Source organism: Homo sapiens, chromosome 6 (assembly GCF_000001405.40).
Source record: "Homo sapiens chromosome 6, GRCh38.p14 Primary Assembly".
NCBI classification, from domain to species: Eukaryota; Metazoa; Chordata; class Mammalia; order Primates; family Hominidae; genus Homo; species Homo sapiens.
Window position 1 is genome coordinate 130,513,719 of NC_000006.12, and position 19,701 is coordinate 130,533,419.

General features: G+C 41.2%; 3 annotated features.

Moving 5' to 3' along the window:
* Nucleotides 269–418: an enhancer, noted in NCBI's record as "active region_25060". NCBI's record gives its function as "activates an Ori minimal core promoter by ATAC-STARR-seq in GM12878 lymphoblastoid cells {active_cell/tissue: GM12878}" and the evidence as "EXISTENCE:reporter gene assay evidence [ECO:0000049][PMID:35858748]".
* Nucleotides 3,445–4,644: an enhancer, noted in NCBI's record as "P300/CBP strongly-dependent group 1 enhancer chr6:130838308-130839507 (GRCh37/hg19 assembly coordinates)". NCBI's record gives its function as "activates an origin of replication core promoter dependent on BRD2, BRD4, P300/CBP, MED14 and CDK7 cofactors, with strong dependence on P300/CBP, by STARR-seq in HCT116 cells {active_cell/tissue: HCT116}" and the evidence as "EXISTENCE:reporter gene assay evidence [ECO:0000049][PMID:35650434]".
* Nucleotides 11,757–11,846: an enhancer, noted in NCBI's record as "active region_25061". NCBI's record gives its function as "activates an Ori minimal core promoter by ATAC-STARR-seq in GM12878 lymphoblastoid cells {active_cell/tissue: GM12878}" and the evidence as "EXISTENCE:reporter gene assay evidence [ECO:0000049][PMID:35858748]".

Sequence of the window (19,701 nt, forward strand, 5' to 3'; positions counted from 1 at the left end):
AGCAGTTTGCAAACCAGGGAGATGCAGCCTTCAGTACAAAACAGAGGTACACTCCGCCAGAACAAAGACAGAAGTTGCTTTTTATAGAGAAAGTTGTCACCCAGGTTTCCGCTTGTCTGCTGTGCAAATAAGGGGTGGCTGATTATTTGTTCTGATTGGTTGATGTTAAGATTTATCACAGGTTACAGTCTAGTGGTTAGGTCCAGGTGCCAGAATCTAGTGGTTAGGTCCAGGAACTTTCTGGCAGTGTTGATTGAGGCAGTGTAAACAGGAACAGATAGCTATGAGAGTCCCAAAGTTCCCCTAGCCTGTGGTTTTTCTGAGAATGCAGGATATGTGTGTGGTCTCTAGTCAGCAAATGGATACTTGGCTGCATTTTGAATTTAAGCCCAATTAGTCGCTCAGGATCCACCTTGAAGGATTGGCTGTTTTGGAGTTGACAACAGAAAGGATAACCAACTTTTCACATTTATTGGCCTTTAGTGTTTTCTTCTTTTTTGAATTGGCCACTGGTATTTGCTGCTCATTTTTAGTGGGTTACTTACATTTATTTCATATTGAGTTTTAGAAATTTTAAAGAGTTTATGGTCTGGTAATTACTCCTTTGTGGGGCCTAATGTGTGAAAATACCCTCTGCCAATTTATGCTTTGCCTTTGAGCTGTCTATGTTGTCTTTTGTTGTGAAGAAGTTTTAAATTTTAATATTTATTTGTCTTTATATTTGGGTATTTTTAAGAACCCATTTTCCATGTTAAGGTAACAGAAGTATTCTCTGACATCTATAAATATAAAATGTTTACTTTCCATATTTCTGCCTTTGGTCCACCTGGAATTCATTTGTGAACATTGGCTGGAGTAGGACTCCAAGTTATTTACCTCCTATTAAGTTAATACATCCTATTGAGATAGAACCCAATTTTTCCAGGACTATTTCTTGATTCATTTCCCCACTGCTCTGTAATGTGATATCTATGTAATTCTGTTCCTTGATTTAATTAATTCTATTTATTTGTTTATCCCTGCCCTAATACCATGCTGTCATGATTTCTGTAGTTTTATAATTAATATCTTAATCTCTCGTAGGGCTAGTCACCCTTTATTCTAGTTATAGTGTGAATGTTGACTTCTCATATTAACACAAGCAAAAGTTTCAGACATGTTTCAGACCTCATGAAAGACTGTCAGATAACTAGTCAGTACGGGGTTGTGGCAAAAGCATGGAGTACTGACTCAGGGACCATGAGAAGTGGTGCAATATTCACAAACGCTCTGGGGTTCAGTTTCCTCATCCTTAAAAATGAATTAACATGGATTGGCTTGTAAAAGTTGCTATTTTGAGATAGTGAGGGCAGGAAGGATGATGGAAAAGAGGAAGGTTTTTACAAAACAAGGAAGTACTCCATTTTAGGGGACCTCTCTGGGTAGGTATCTATAGCTAGAGAGGGCACAAATGGGCCTCTGGAAAGGACAGACCTGGCAGATCATGTTTAAAACATCTGCAGAGAAGCGCTTTCCAATTGGAATATAGATGGCTTACCTGGTGCTTAATGAGAAAGAATAGAATGTCTCCATGGATGGGCTATAGAGTGAGCTACTTAGCTGTAACATGAAACAGAGGTACAGCTATAAGAATCTAATGGTTTTGGAGGCCATAAGTTGAATTAAATATCTATACATTCTTGTGTTTATGCAGCTGGTCCTTGAGATTTCCTTTCCCTAGGAAAATAGCCATTGTACCTCACACAGCTGACAGTGTGTGTCTTATAAAACCCGACAGTGGGAGTGCCACCTACGCAATCCAAGGAAGGGAAGCACTTTGATCTTTATGATGCGGTGGTGGAGAGTATTAATAGCAAATGTGATTCCCCAGTTAGAACTTCCATGACAAATTTTACCATATATAGAAACTCTTGACCATCTTATTTTCTTAAGGTACTAATTGGTTTCTTTATTTTAAAGCTACAGAGCCCAGACCAATGTCGATACTGTTAACACCACTTTAACAGCCAGCTCTGTATCAACTCAGGGTTCCTACTGATGAGTAGAGAAAAATGAGACAGAATTTCCAGCAATGTGTATTAAAGACAACTGAAATTTAAAAGCCATTTTTGGCCTGGCATGGTGGCTCACGCCTGTAATCCCACACTTTGGGAGGCCAAGGCAAGTGGATCACTTGAGGTCAGGAGTTGGAGACCAGTCTAGCCAACATGGTGAAACCCCATCTCTACTGAAAATACAAAAAGTAGCTGGGCGTGGTGGTGCATGCCTGTAATCCCAGCTACTTGGGAGGCTGAGGCAGGAGAATCGCTTGAACCCAGCGGGGCAGCGGTTGCAGTGAGCCGAGATCGCACTATTGCACTCCAGGCTGGGTGACAGAATGAAACTCTGTCTCAAAAATAAATAAATAAATAAAAGCCATTTTGTCCTACTTTGAGGGCCTACAAAAAGGTGTTGAAATCTTATAAATTAAAAAATAAATGAGGTCTATAAATTGCCTATAAAACACCTAACCTTTATTGTCTCACTTGTTACTTCCAACAAACCTGTGAGATAGGTTGTCTTCTTCATTTTATAGGTAAGAAAATAAGGTACAGATGAACTTGCATAAATAATCAAGTTAATAAAGCAGAGCTAGGATTTAATCCCAGGTGACTTCTTGAAAGGATGAAGTCTTGACCACTAGGTGTTGCTTCCTGTGTGAATTAAAAAGCTGTTGGGCTTTTTTTTTTTTTAACTTTGTGCAATTTTTAATGATTTTTATTCCTTTTAACATATCCAACATCCTTGTTTTTATTTCATGGCAATGGTGTTGAGTTGTGAATGTTCTAATAGAGAAGCCAGTCTAGCAGTCTGAACTCAAACTTGCCATCAATGTTCATACAGTGAGAAAGTGTTATGGTTTGGCTCTGTGTCCCCACCCAAATCTCATGTTGAATTGTAATTTCCAATGCTGGGGGCAAGATGTGGTGGGAGGTTATTGGATCATGCGGGTGGATTTCCCCCATGCTGTTCTCATGATAGTGAGTTCTCACGTACTCTGATGTTTTAAAAATATGTGACACTTCCCCCTACACTTTCTTTCTCTCCTGCCGCCACGTGAAGAAGGTACTTGCTTCCCCTTTACCCTTCCACCATGATTGTAAGTTTCCTGAGGCCTCCTCAACAATGCTTCCTGTACAGCCTGAAGAACTGTGAGTCAATTAAACCTCTTTCTTGATAAATTACCCTGTCTCAGGTAGTTCATTATAGCAGTGTGAGAACAGATTAATACAGAAAGTATCCTCAATTTTTGGTGCATTCATTTTACATTCACATAGTTCCCTGAGCTTTATTCCATAATTTCACTAACTGTTCTCTGTAGCATGTGTGGGATCCTTCTACTAGACAGGAGGCATGTTGAGGGCAAGGACTGTCATTTTCTCTGCTTTATACTCCCAGGAATTAGCCCTGTTCCTGATACATAGTAGGCACTTAATAAATGTTTGCTGAGTGAATAATGAAGGGAAACTCCACCTTAAATTCTTTTCAAATTCTTCACTTTACCAATAATATAACTGGGGCAGAAATCAGCAAAGTCGACTTACCAAAGATCTACATTTATTGTGTGGTAGACACAAGGCCCCTCGAGTCCAGAATCTATGCCTAGTGCTGTTTTCTCCATGGATAACTAAAATCTATGAGTACAAATAGGAAGAAAGAGAGAGTCTGCCTATAGAGTGAAAATTGCAGATATATTCTGTTACCTAGCGACATCATGAGAAGTGTTTCAGTTTCATCTCTCATAAAAACAAAGGACACCATTGTTAGTATCTGACTCACATCAGTGCTGTGACAACGCAAGGTGTCTCAGCACCTGGAAGAAACCAGCAGCATTAGTAAGTGTTCCCATTATAGAACCACTAATGAGGCAATTTGTTAAACCAGCATCCCCCTGCAAACCAAAATCAGACAAATGAGCTGGTACATTTGAAGGTTCAGAAAAAACAAATTCTCAGTAGAAATAGAAATGAGTCTATGCCAGGTATTTGTGACACATTAAATTCATCTGAGGCAATTATCATGACTCATCATCAAATGGAAAACCTAGGATATCCGGCCTGTTCTGCTGGAAAAAGTGGTTGTGAGGGTGCCAGCAGGTAGGATGGTTTTATTTGGGAGGACTCTCCCTTCTCCTAATCCACTGAGTAACAATGCATGACCAGTAATATTTTCAAAGGAACTGTAAGGAAATTGTATTGATACTTATGTTCTGATATGATGAATTAGCAGACGAAGTAATTTCTTAACCTGACACTCAAGTCTTCTATGATCTGATGGCCACAAGTACCTCTGTACCCCGTAATACTCATTTTACTGAGAGAATATCTGCATCTCTTTACTCATGCTGTCTCCTACCTTGCCAACCTAACCTCCTCCTGTGCATCCACCTATAAGACCCCACTCTTGGAAATACTGGGACTTACGCCCTCCTCCTACACTCAGTACTGACCTAGATTCCAGCTTCAGCAACTCTAGCAACACTGCCCTTAACCTTTTGCCTTTGGAAACTTGGCAGCATCATCTTCGAAGGATCCAAACCCAGGCTCAAGTCCAGTGAGTTTTCTCTGGTCCTGTGCCTGAGCAGCCCAGCTGGCACAGCATGGGTAGAGACCACCTGTTTCCTGTCAGCTTCCCAATCCCCCTTCAAAGTACTCAATAAATGTGTGCTGCTAGGTGATGTGACACAGAGAGGGTTTTGTCGGATAGAAGAATGCTGCCACACATCTATTTTTACTTGACTTATTTAACAGTTTGGAAGGACATGCACAATTGCTCTACACAGTATAGATCTGGCCACCCAAGAGATGGCTCAGACTCACCAGGGGACAGGGGACAGCCAGTGCTGAGGAGTGCCTGCCTTTCTGCTCCTGGCTACACTGTGTCCCAGAAAAGACATTTTCTCACAGCCAAAAAGCAAGCAGTCACATCCCTGAAAAAGATATTTTTCTTAACTCTGCACCTAGAAAATCATTTGGAGGATGGTACTAGCAAGGACTGCTAGCTCTTACAGACAGATGACCTCAGAGAAGAGCAGGGGACTGAGGGGGGTGGAAATCCTGTGGTCTAAGTCTTAGCTTAGACTCTAATTGAGATGATAGAACTGTTACTTAACTAGCAGTTTCTTTTTGTCTCTTCTTTTATAAAATAAGGAAAATAAAATCCACCCTATTTGACAGATGGGCAAACTAAAGATAAAATCAATAATATATGTGAACTGACTATGGGATTGCAAAAAGCACAATGGATTGGGACATTGTTGAGATAATAATTGTTGCAGAAAGATATGGAACGTATCTTTCCAAAAGCCCAAATGTGCCCAAACGTGGTGGCTGATACCTGTAATCCCAGCACTTTGGGAGGCCGAGGCAGGTGAAACACTTGAGGTTAGGAGTTTGAGACCAGGCTGGCCAACATGGTGAAACCCCGCCTCTACTAAAAATACAAAAATTAGCCAGGTGTGATGGCACCCACCTGTTGTCCTAGCTACTCGGGAGGCTGAGACAGGAGAATCGCTTGAACCTGGGAGGCAGAGGTTGCAGTGAGCCTAGATCATGCCACTGCACTCCAGCCTGGGTGACAGAGCAAGACTCTGTCTCAAAAATAAAAAATAAAAAAAGCCCAAATGCCTTATGAAACTTCAGAGAGTGATCATAATCTTTAACACTTTTAAAGGGTTTTACAGAGCACTTTTACATAAATTATGCTACTTAATCCTTACATTGACATCAAATTATGCGTGATTATTTTTTCCATTTAAAAAAATGAGAAAACTGAATTCCAATGAGGTCAATCTACTTAAGACAGCTCAGCTGGTTACAAGATATTAACTGAAGTCTTTTGACTCTCATTTTCTTTTTACAATACTACTGTTTCAAGAAAGGGATTGCAGAAAAAGTTGGATTAAAAGCATTACATTTAATACTTTGTTATTTGTGCTAGACAAAAATGTCCTATGGGCATATAATATCCTCAGATCCCTTTCATAAACCAAATTATCCTTGAAAATTATTAAAAGATTGCATTCAGATTCATGTGTCTGTTAGGCTGATTAATATTTCCTACAGAGGCTATTAACTACCATAAAGAACATTTCCACCATTTTGCTAACTAAATAGACTTCTTCATTATGAAAACAAAAATGATATACGGAATTAGATGGCAGCTTTAATAATTACAACTAAAACCATATGTAAAGATACAGATGAAATAAATCTAAATGAAATCATTTTTCAGGCAGGTTGTATAAAACATCAGTAGCCTTTTAAGAATAATAGGTTTGCTTGATGATGGTTCTTAAATATAGGCTCATTAGGTGTCTTATTATTGACAAGTAAGAATATAGTACAAATCTTAGAATACTGTGTATATTTTTAAGTATAATTTTTTAATTAATAAAGTACATTTGGTATTTGAATGAGTAAGGTCAGGGCTAAGGGATCTGTTTTGCTCATCACATGAAAAAAAAAAAAGATTATTCATCCATTCCCTGTCCTCAGGGAGAGTGAAATATGGGAAAATTAAATGGTACTTGGCAGATGACATTTCTGAAGCCTGGTAACAGAAATGGTAGAATAAACATTCACAGAAGCCCCTCCTATGCCATAGGAAACTTGTTCTAATAGGATCATCCCGAAGATCCTGATGATGTGTCTCATCACTCTTTATTGCCCTCATTAGTCACAAATTAGATTACAGAATCAGCATTTAGTAAATCTCAGCCTCCTTCCTTTCCCAAACTAGCGACTCATCCTCGAGTTTAAGAAAGAACACAGGAAGGAAAGAAGGCAATATCCCTCTCTGCTATCTTTGCTGAAGCTAGAAAACTGACAACAATGTCTTTTATTTCTTGAAGTAAATAGCATGTCAAATTATTAATCAGGTTTTTTATTTTCTATATCTTACGATGCTTTGATATCTTGGGGAGTCTTGCTAATATGGAGAGACTGCCCCTCCAGGGGTCAGCTAATTCCTGGAAATAGCACAAGATTTCCCACCCCGTTCCCCCACCTTGCCAACACATTTTTCATAAGCAAACTAACCAATCCAGATATCCCCACGGTCTCCTTTATCTAACTGACACACCAAGCCAATGTTTCCCTGCCCTGAATCATTCCAGGGCCAGGTTTTAGAAGACTAGAAACCATCTCTATAGCCCAGAGCCCACCAAAATTAAACTACCCAATCTTCAGCTGTTCACCCTGTTCTGCACTCCTGTGGGAACCACATTAAAGGCCTGTGGTCATGTTTTCCCTCCTCTTCCTGCCTTCCGACTGACCTGGTGCTTCCCCATGTGACCCTGCATGGTGTGGCATATGCCCCCTTCTCTTGGGGACTCTGAGTACTACAACTTTTCTTTCAAAGGCAGTTGTTCTGCACCAGTCACCTTATCATACATGATTAAAACACATCCCAGGTACAAATCTCGAGGCACTTATATAGATGTTCTGTCGTGATGACTGTATGGAGAAAGGGGAAGAGCAGTCAAGTCCCAGTTTCTAATTCCAGCTATTTTACAGAATGTATGGCCTTAAGCAACTCTCCAAGATTCAGGAAGAGCAAGAGATCTGGACAATAAGTAATTTGTGAATCAGTGGATGAAACTAGATAATCTCTGCCTAATTTCAGAGTTAAAATTCTATCATTATGTATACATAAAAAACTTTATCTAAAAAGCTAAAAGTGTCATTATCACACTGCTGATAATGACATACCCAAGACTGGGTAATTTATAAAGAAAAAGAGATTTAATGGATCCCTAGTTCCACATGGCTGGGAGGCCTCACAACCATGATGGAAGGTGAAAGGCACATCTTACATGGCAGCAAGCAAGAGAGAATGAGAACCAAGGGAAAAGGGAAACCCTTGGGAGGCCAAGGTGGGCGGATCACGAGGTCAGGAGATCAAGACCATCCTGGCTAATGCGGTGAAACCCTGTCTCTACTAAAAATACAAAAAATTAGCCAGGCGTAGTGGTGGGCGCCTGTAGTCCCAGTACTGGGGAGGCTGAGGCAGGAGAATGGCGTGAACCCAGGAGGCAGAGCTTGCAGTGAGCCGAGATTGCGCCACTGCACTCCAGCCTGGGTGACAGAGTGAGACTACATCTCAAAAAAAAAAAAAAAAGAGAGAAGAAAAACAAAAGGGAAATCCCTTATAAAATCACTAGATCTCGTGAGACTTATTCATTACTACAAGAACAGTATTGGGGAAACCGCCCCCATGATTCAATTTTCTCTCACCAGGTCCCTCACCCAACATCTGGGAATTATGGGAGCTACAATTCAACATGAGATTTGGGTGGGGACACAGGCAAACCATATCACTTACCATCATTAAATTAATATTTTTAAATTTAAGATGCTATTGCTAAATTCAAACTCACCAATGAGTTACCAAGCCCCCTTGCAGAGTGATTCCCAGGACTAGGTGATTATCAATATATCATCTGATGAACTGTGTAAAATTGCATATGCCCAGGCCTTGCCCACAGCCTCTCAGCAAAGATCTATGATGGTGGGCCCCAGAATAGGTTTATTATAAAAGCTCTTTCTATGACTTTAATGATCTGCTAGGTTGGGCACTACTGCTTTAACAGTAATTCTAAAATTATTATTTCACAACCACAACTCTTTCAAGAACTTGGATCCAAGTCAAGAGACAACAAACTGAATTTTTCAGAAAGGATTGTTTACATTTTACAGGCAAAAATAACAGTAACAGCAATCCGAGATTTCTGGGATACAGGTTGTTAAGTGACTTCTAAAAGGTCAATGAACAGGTGAGTAGCAGAGGTGGGCATGAGCCAAATTCTGACTTCAAATCCAGTGCTTTATCCACTATATCACCAAACCATCTTATCATTCCAATTTACGTGATAACTACTTAATCAAGCACCTATTATGTCAAAGACACCATCCTATCATATGCAGTAGTAGTTAACATGTTTTTGAGTTCTGACTATGTGCTGAGCACCATTTTAGGCACTTAACAAAAATTATTTAATCCACAGAACAAACCTATGGGGTAGATATTAATACTATCCCAATTTTATACATGGAACAAACATAGAACAGAAAGGATATGCAACTTGCCCAGGGCCACACAGCTAGTAAGGGACAAGGTTAAAATTAAAGCCCAGGTGGTCAGCTCCAAAACCTGAGCTCTTTAAACACTATGCAATATTGTGTAGAGAGCATTTGTCGAATATTCTAGAATTGAGGGTGCTATATGTAATGTATTACCTTCTTTAATCCTCCTGGAGAAATGAAACAGGCTCAGGCTCTTGAGTCACTAACCCAAAATCACATGGAGTGGTGAAGAAATTGTTTTACTACTGTGTAACTTAGGACTTTTATTTTTATTTTTTGAGATGGAGTCTCACTCTGTCACCCAGGCTAGATGGAGTGCACTGGCACGATCTTGGCTCACTGCAACCTCCGCCTCCGGGGTTCGAGGGATTCCCCTGCCCCAGCCTCCCAAGTAGGTGGGATTACAGGCATGCACCACCACGCCTGGCTAGTTTTTGTATTTTTAGCAGAGATGCGGTTTCGCCATGTTGGCCAGGCTAGTCTTGAACTCCTGACCTCAAGTGATCCTCCCACCTCAGCCTCCCAAAGTGCTGGGATTACAGGTGTGAGCCACCACACCTGATCATAACTTAGGACTCTTTTCGATGTGTCAACACATTCAATAGTAATGGACTTAAACAAAAAAGGAATATACTGGCTCAATAACCGGAAAGTCCAGGGATAAAATGATGTGACCGGAACACGATTTTCTTGGGCTGTGCTTCAGCTACCTCTGTGTTGATTTCATTCTCTGTCCCCACACGGAGCTCCATGGGAAGACCCCCTTAATCAGAAAACAATCTACTTCCCAATAGCTAAAAAGAAAAAGGTTTTACCCTGAGACTATGCACCTACTACTGAAACAATCATGCAGGGTGTGTAATATAATGACTGGCTTAGCCCAGATACAGAGACTGAGAGCCAAAAATAAGAGATGCCAACTGCAAATCAAACCCCAGCTAGCCAGCCTCTCTATAAATAACAGATTATTTGTGAGTACATTGGTGTGTTTTCTGTTAGCATCCCACAGTGTTTTCTTCATATAACCTTCAGTTTAAAAGCTTTCCACTAAAATCCAAGGAGAAAAACATGTGTTTAAGCATTCCCTTGTGTTGCTATTGAGGGATGCTCTTCCTGTTCACCTGCCTCCCAGGTCCATACTCCCTCTGCTACGTGAGGGCCCTGCCGGGCCATGGGACTGTCCATGTGCAAATGCACCCTCTCTCTTTGAGCACTGCCAACTCCCTGGGGCTCTGCTCAGGGAGCAGGATACAAGTTCCCTTCTCCTGTCAGATACCAGAATCCTATTTGGGTTTTGGAGCCTCCACATGGCTCTGACCAGAAGGAAGCCACAGGATCTTTTACTCTAACGTCCACCAGAGTTATTGATTCTCCTTGGATCTCCTCTCCTCATCTTTTGCTGAGGAATCTTTGTTGACTATCAGATTGCATGCCTTCAGCAGTCTGACATGCAGACCTACGTCCTACTCTTTCCACCACCCAAAGGCCTAAATTTTTGGAAAGCAAAAGCTAGGAACAGATCAAGTCTACTTCCCCTGCCTTCTCTCTCTCCTGAGATACAAAGAGCAAAGAAGAGAAATAAACTACTAGTATAAAAACCAGTGGCTAATATTTCAAAAATCTTTTTCTACCACTCTACTGTCTATCAAATGCCCACAGTGTGCAAAATATAAACTAGGCACTTTGCACATCTCTTTAGTTTTCCACAACTACCTACTATGTCAGCACTGCGCCGACAAGGAAACCAAATCTCAGAGAGGTGAAATGACTTGCCTACCGACACAGGGCCGAGCCTGGGCCCCTTTGCCCTCAGATCCATTCTTCAACCATGCCCTGTTCTGCTCTGTTTAGGGCAAAGGGAGGTTCTCACATCAGCTGACAGGCAGCTGGTTTGGCCAACAGGAGGCACAGATAGGAAATGAGAGAGCGGGGAGGGGAAAGATGTCACCCCTTTTGTCTAAGACAGCTTCACTGGCAGCTGCTGAATCTCCTGTGTGGCTCCAGCTCCCACTAGACAGGCAGTCTAGTCCTGGTTTCTGTGGGGCCCTGCTTTGGGATGTAGTAATGAGGATGACCAACCATCTAGGTTTGCCTGGGAATGAGGAGTTTCCTGGGACACAGGGCTTTCAGTGCTAAAATTCAGAAATTTCTCAGCAAACATCTTGGTCACCCAAGTAGTAATAGCACCTTCTCTTCACCCCTAGGCTGCCTCTGTAGCCAAAGAGTGCTAGTTCCCGCCTGCAGGTAACCTCTGAGTCTCTGACTATCCTCTGCATGGCTTTGCAGCCTCCAACACCTGTTCTACTCATCCCCTTCATTAAATTCCCTGTGTTGTAAATATTTGAAATTGTTGCTGTTTGTGTGGTTAGAATGGGTTTTTATACTAGTATTTCCTTTCTCTTCTTTGCTCATGAATCCTCAAGGGAGGGTTGGGGTAGGGAAAACAGCCCATACGTCTGATACAGTTATCCAGCTAGTAAGTGCAAAGGTGATATTTTTACCAAAGGCTGTGCTGTTATCACTACATTAAATTCACTCAGAAGAACAGTGCTCAGGAAAAGAGGTTTCTTCACACCTGCCTGCCCCTGCCTGTATAATTTCACCACCAGGAAGTATAATTTTATTTTAACTTTGCCTTGAAGGATTAAGTCATAGTAACACAACTTACAAATGAATTATTTTTAGCTTGAGCAAGTGAAACACAGCTTCTGTCTGCTTTTCTGAAGTGGAGTAGGAAGGAAAGAGGGGGAGGTTCCTGCTTGCTGCCTTGTGGAGTTCTACAGAGAGACCAGAAGCTTCTGTTTCAAAAGGAAGCAGTGGTTACACTTATGGTAATGGCAGAGGCCTCCCAGACACTGGCTTGGAGTTCTGTTTATTGGTTATGAGCACAGATTTCTGGATACCTCCCACCTGACCAATAAAATGGTCCTCGCTGCAGAATGCATCCAGGTAATTCACATTAGTGTGTGTAGCTATTGCTATAGTAACAAGAAACTGGGACTTTTTATCCCTTTTCTCATTTTTCTAAAGTTCCTTTTTTCAGGGCAAATATACATTCCATATTTGAAAGAAAATAATTCATAAGTCAGAAATATGGCCTTAGATATTCAGATGCAATATAGGCTCGTCTGAAATACATTACAAAATAGTGATGTTGGACATGTGTCAATTAGTTCAAATTAGGATTTGCTGGTTGTGAATTGTACATATTTCAAGGCAAAAGAGTGTCCTAAAGAGTCATGTTTCAGATCAGTCTGCTTCTCATTCACATTTAATTTTCTTGCAAATGTTGAAACATGGAACAGTTCGTGCTGAGCAATAAGCTATCAACTTGAATTCAACAGCTTCTAAAAACAAGTGGTCTGAGGTGTCCAAGTTCACAACAACCTGTTTCCAGATTTATTTCAGTTAGACAAGTCATTGAGCAGCCTGAACCCGGGAGACTAGAGCAAGAAATTGCTTTATTTTTTTTCTTTCATCACTGCCCCCAAAGGAGGTGTAAGATGGTCCCCTTTCTGGCCCCCTCCAGACATCTCATGCAGGAGCCAGAGCTTTCTGGCCATTTTCAAATACAAAAACTACAGTCTGGTTTAGTCCCTTTAAAACTTCAGTTCAACCTAGTGTTCAGCTCCTCTCTCCCCAAGGGTCAGCCTTAGGTCCTGGAGTTGGGAGGGCACCTGGTCAGTTCCTCCACTGGGATTGGGGCAGAGGAAGAGGGAGAGAGAAGGCGTTAGTGATTCTACTTGCCTAGTTGATTCTTATCTCCCCACTTGGTTGTCAATGAGTGCCCCACCGCATAGTGGTCTGACCCGAGAGATCTGCTTTGGCCTCCTGCCCTGGCAGCTCATGGTGAGGTTCTTCCTCCTGGAGGCCTGTGACCTTGCATAGACTGTTAACAAGATGACTCAGCTCAAGCCAGGCTACCTTGCAAAGTAGCCACTAGACCATCCTTCCATGCCAAAGAGTGGGAAGGGGAGATTTTCCTGCCCTGCCACCACTCCCAGTTCTTTTAGCCTGATTCAAAAAGTATGGAGGATAGATTAGCACAGAGTGAATTGCTGTTTCTGTGCCTTGTGCCAAATCCTAGGAGCATTTTTCTTAGAACTCACCTTCATATAGGTTGAAGGTGGAAGGTGGAAGCTTTCCTTTCGTTTCCCTAGGGAAAAGCCACTGTGTCCCTCTTCATAGACTGACATCTTTTTTTTCAAATGACTCATTTCAAGTATCTCCAGACTTCTGTTTAAATCAAGGACCAGGCTCGTGGTAGCTGGCCTGGTTTTGCTGCTATTTAACAGGTTATGACCTGTTCCTCCTGGGTACTTACTGTTTTTACTTTTAGGACTCTAAATGCAATCAAACATAATAAGAACAGCTCCAGTCAACATTCTATTAAATAAATCATGAACCTTTGCAATAAAAGTATCACTACTAAAGACTATGCAAATAAGGAGGCCCTGGCTTCCAGTTCAGGTGGCTCTGAGCTGAGGGTAAGCACCAGGGCAGTGCCCTTTTACCACATCCGTCCAAGTGGGATCACCCTCTAGTGGGGACCTGGCCCCTTCTCCCAAGCCTGCCAATCAAGTTAAGTGCTTGTCTCTTTAACACTCAAGGAGAGGCACATTCAGGGGAGTTTTAGTCTGGGTGGGTAGAGCAAGGGCTTTCTGCTGAGAGGAAAAAGGCTAGGTCTGAGGACTGAGGGTGCACTGGGGCAGTGGGAATAGTGGGAGGGAAGATGTGGCACCAGGCTAGAGGGACATCCAGGCCAGAGTTGGGCTGCACTGAGGGCCAGGGAAACTGCTCTAGACATATGCAACTTATTCCCAATGGTTCAGAAAAATTTACATATATAAGTATGTGTGTATGTACACATACACACATATATGTGTGCATAAAAAGAAGAGAGAGAACTAATGACAAGCAAATGAGGTAACATATTAATAACAGGAGAATCAGGGTAAGAGGATCATAGGTGTTCTTTGCACCGTTCGTATTTTTGCAACTTTCCATAAATTTGAAATTACTTCCTAATAAAACTTTTTAAAAGGTACCCTTTGAATCTCTACTATAGATAACACAGTCAATGAACTTTGTTCATCTCCCTTCATTTTCTCTTTCCTTCCACTTCATTTCTGCGTTGTAAATAATATTTACATACTGTTCAAAAATCCTGATTCTCACATCTGCTCTAGCCTTGACATTACAGTTAAATATTTTAAATGTCCAGCATCAGTGCTTTTGCCATGGTTTTTCCAGTCATCTCTTGATCAGTTGAAGGTTCCCTTGAGGAGATTCCTTAAGAAAGGCTTATGGGAACAATATCCATGAGATCTTTCTTTAAGCACCTTTTACTATAGCTGATATGCTTGAATGTCAGTGTATTTAGTCCATTTTCATGCTGCTATGAAGAAATGCCTGAGACTGGGTAATTTATAAAGAAAAAGTGGCTTAACAGACTCACAGTTCCACTTGGCTGGGGAGGCCTCACCATCATGGTGGAAGACAGAAGTACAAAGGCACATCTTACATGGCAGCAGGAAAGAGCATGTGCCCGGGAACTGCCCTTCATAAAACCATCAGCTCTTGTGAGATTTGTTCACTGTCATGAGAACAGCATGGGAAAAACAAACCCCCATGATTCAATTACCTCCCACTGGGTCCCTCCCATGACATGTGGGGATTATGGGAGCTACAATTCAAGATGAGATTTGGGTGAGGACACAGCCAAACCATATCGGTCAACTTACCAAAAGACAGAATTCTTGATGCACACTTTGTAGAAACGGCTCCATTATCCTCTGGTAGTAAATACAACTGTGGAGAAACCTGCAGTCAGCTGGTTTTCTTTTACTGCTAAAGAAAAGGCTCGGTCTTTTTTTCTTGGCTGACCAAAGGCTTTTTTGTTGTTGTTATCATTTTAAAGTCCAATTACTTAAATAAGATATGCCTTTGGGTTGATTGATCTGGGCCAACTTTCTCTGGAACACATTTATGTCTCTGGAGATGTAAATGTACAAATTTTAGTCTCTCATTTCAGGAAAATTCTCTTGAGTGATCTCTTTGAATATTTATGGTATGCCATTCCTTTGCCTTGTTTTTTTCTTTAAAGACACCAAATGATATAGTTTGGATGTGTGTCCCTGCCCAGATCTCATGTTGAAATGTAATCCCCAGTGTTGGAGGTGGGACCTGGTGGGAGCTGATAGGATCATGGGAGCGTATTTCTCAAGAATGGTTTAGCACCGTCCCCTTGGTGCCGTCCTTGCCACAGTGAGTGAACTGTCATGAGACGTGGCTTAAAAGTGTGTGGTACCTCTCCCCTCACTCTTTTGCTCCTGCTCTGGCCATGTGACATGCAGTGCTTGCTCTGCCTTCACTTTCTGCCACGATTGTAAGTTTCCTGAGGCCTCCCTAGAAGCTGAGTAGATGGCAGTATCATGCTTCCTGTATAGCCTACAGAACCATGAGCCCAGTAAGCTTCTTTTCTTTATAAAATACCCAGTGTCAGAGTTCTGAAGGATAATGGTGGATGGGAGGCAAGACTAAATTGCAGCTCCCACTCAGACAGAGCAGCATGTAGAGACTCACATCATAAACTTTTGCTTCAAGTAGTACCCCATGAATGTACCAGGAAAGCTGAGAGAATCCACAGACACATTGATGGAAGTGGATTGCTCCTGCAGGCCCCAGGAGACGCTGAAAAACTGTGAGTACCCAAAGTGTGAAAATATGAAAGGGGAATTGTCCGCCCCCAAACACACACCCTCACTGGGAAAACTAAAAGTCCAGATCACGGGAGAAGAATTTGACCTTACCTGGACCTGAAACAAATTTAGAGAGCAAAATATATGGGTAGAAGCAGTGGGAAGAGCCCTGTGAGCTCTCTCAGTCCCCAGGGAAGCCATTTCTGACTGTGTCACAGAGGTCCTTGGGGAGGGCTGCCAGAGGAACTGGGAAAAGACTACAGAGAGAAGGAAACTTCGAGCTGAACTTTGTAACAATTTCAACAGAAGGCAAAGTTACCTGGACAGAACTCAGGGGAGGGGGTGAATCAGGAATGCAGATGCAGCTCAGAAGCCACAGCAGGCAGGGAGGCGTGAAACCTGAAAGCCCTGCTTGCTTTCTCAGCCAAGAGGCTGGTAGCCTGGGGCAGGTTCTCAGCCCTGCTCACCCACTGCCTGGAAATAAACTCAGTGCTGATGGGGGACACGGTGGGAGTGAGACTGGCCTTTTGGGCTGTGTGGAAGCAGGGTGAGGCCTGTGGCTGCCGGCTTTCCCTCACTTCTCTAGCGACCTGCATGACGCAGCAAAGGCAGCCATCACCCACTGGGAACATAACTCCACTGGCCTGAGAACCACACTGCCATTCCCCACAGCAGCCATAGCAAGTCCCACCCAAGGAGACTCTGAACTCAGACATGCCAAGACAGACCATATTATAGGCCACAACACAAGTCTCAGTAAATTTAAGAAAATCAAAATTACATCAAGTACTCTCTCAGACCACAGTGGAAAAAAATTTGAAATCAACTCTGAAAGGAACCCTCAAAACCATGCAAATACATGGAAAATAAATAACCTGCTCCTGAATGATCATTGGGTCAACAATGAAATCAAGACAGAAATTTAAAAATTATTTTGGCAGGGCACAGTGGCTCACACCTGTAATCCTAGCACTTCGGGAGGCCAAGGCGGGCAGATCACTTAAGGCTGGGAGTTTGAGACCAGCCTGACCAACATGGAGAAACCCTGTCTCTACTAAAAATACAAAACTAGCCAGGCGTGGGGGTGCATGCCTGTAATCCCAGCTACTCAGGAAGCTGAGGCAGGAGAATCACTTGAACTCAGGAGGCAGAGGTTGCAGTGAGCGGAGATCACGCCATTACACTCCAGCCTGGGCAACAAGAGCAGCAAAACTCTGTCACAAAAAAAAAATTCTTTTAACTGGACAATAATAGTGATACAACCTATCAAAACCTCTGGGACACAGCAAAGGCAGTGCTAAGAGGAATGTTCATAGCCTTAAATGCCTACATCAAAAAGTCTGAAAGAGCACAAACAGACAATCTAAGGTCAACCTCAAGGAAATAGAAAAACAAGAACAAATCAAACCCAAACCCAGCAGAAGAAAAGAAATAACAAAAATCAGAGCAGAACTAAATGAAATTGAGACAAAAAAATACAAAAACAACAAGCTGTTTCTTTGAAAAGATAAATAACATTGATAGACCACCAGTGAGATTAACCAAGAAGAGAGAAGATCCAAAAAAAAAAAAAAAAGCTCAATTAGAAGCAAAATGGGAAATATCACAACCAATACCACAGAAATACAAAAAAAATCATTCAAGGCTACAATGAACATCTTTACTTGCATAAACTAGAAAACCTAGAGGAGATGAATAAATTCCTGGAAATATACAAGCCTCCTAGATTAAACTAGGAAGAAATAGAAACTCTGAACAGACCAATAACAAGCAGCAAGGTTGAAATGGTAATAAAATAAATTGCTAACAAAAACATCTAGAAGCAGACAGATTCACAGCTGAATTCTATCAGACATTCAAAAACGAATTGGTACCAATCCTATTGACACTATTCCACAACACAGAGAAAGAGGAAATCTTCTCTAAATCATCTATGAAGCCAGTATCACCGTAATACCAAAATCAGGAAAGGATATAACAACAAAAAAACACCACAGACCAATATCCCTGATGAACATAGTTGGAAAAAATCCTTAACAAAATACTAGCTAGTCGAATACAATGGCATATCTAAAAGATAATCCACCATGATCAAGTGAGTTTCATACCAGAAATACAGGAATAGTTTAACATACACAAGTCAATAAATGTGATGCACCATATAAACAGACTTGAAATCATATGATCATCTCAATAGATTCAGAAATAGCATTTGACAAAACCCAGTATCTTTTTATGATTAAAACCCTCAGGAAAATCAGCATAGAAGGGACATATGCCTTAAGGTAATAAAAGCCATCTATGACAGACCCACAGCCAACATAATACTGTTTGGGAAAAAGTTGAAAGTATTCTCCCTGAGATCTGGAACAAAACAAGGATGCCCACTCTCACCACTTCTATTCAACATAATACTGGAAGTCCTAGCCAACAAGAGAAAGAAATCAAGGTTATCAAAATTGGTAAAAAGGAAGTCAAACTGTCCCTGTTTGCTGATGATACGATCATATACATAGAAAACCCTATAAATTACCCAGTCTCAGGTATTTTCTTATACCAATGTGAGAATGGACTAACACATCAAATATGTGCATGCTGTATGCCCTTTGTCTTTTTTCTATAGCTATCATGGGATGGTATTGAATGGAGGCACTTTCCCCAAGTTGGCTGGAATTGGCTCCTAACTCCATCTATTTTTTCAAGGGGAAACTAATTGAGTCAGGTTGTATCTGATAAGCAGAATGTGTACCACACCAACCTGCCGGAATTTGGCTTCCATTTTCCAATAATATGTTTTCCTCTTCTCCTTTCATCAAAACAAGCAGCTGACCCTCACTGTCCTATCACTAGGAAGAAGGCTGCATGAGAAGGAAGGGGCTCCCTTCTCATTGGTTTTAAAGTCCTAAGACTCACGTTTCCGTATCTCTCAGGATAACAAAATGATCAAATGAGAAAGGTACAAACACAATTTTATGGTTAGTATTTGTTGATGAGTAGTGTGTTCTTTTTACCTTCCATTCACACTAAGTGCAGTGCAAAAAAGAAATCTGGTCTCCTCTTTACCTTTTTACCTCTCAGAACTTCAGTTTTATCTCCTGTAAAATAAGGTCAATAAAAGGTGTCTTGCAAGATTCTTGCAAGGATTAGTGATAGAATAGGTAACCTTCAGCTATGGTTTGTGGCATACAGTAAGTGCTTGACAGCTAGACAGGTATTGATCTTCCTATCATCATATCCCTTTGCTTTCCTCTTTTATATTTAGAAAGAACCCATCTCAATGGAAATAAAAAATGACTTTTGGGAATTTAGCCTCTCCCACAGTTGATAGAATTATAGAAAGGAAGTTTAAAACAAAATCTCTCATTTGATTTTAACTCAATTTAGAAAACTCAAATTTTAGGGCACCCTGATTTACAACTTTAATATTTTTTAAAAAACAGTAGGAAAAAATATCTTACTTATATTTATTACTGTGGTAATAAAACACTAATCTGTTCAAGAAAGATAATTTGAAAAGTAGTTTTGAAAAATCACTTAAATGTTGAGTAGATCCAATAATGTTGAGTAGTAAGATCCAATAAAACATAGTGAAAATAGTACAGGTTTGGACATAAAAAATGCCAAGCCAGAGGACTTGGGCTTAAACTACACAACTCTTTTGAACTCCAAGTTTCTCATCTATAAAATGGCACTTATTTATTTCTCTCATAGGACAGTAGGGTTAAATGAAATAAGAGATATGAAGAGGCTATGCAATTTTAATTATTATCTACTGTGTCCCAAAGTATTTGTATTATAAAAATAACTTTGGGATTCATTATTCATGCTTGTGAGTCTGGATTTCTATAGTTTCCATATTTGCCAGGGTCAAGGTG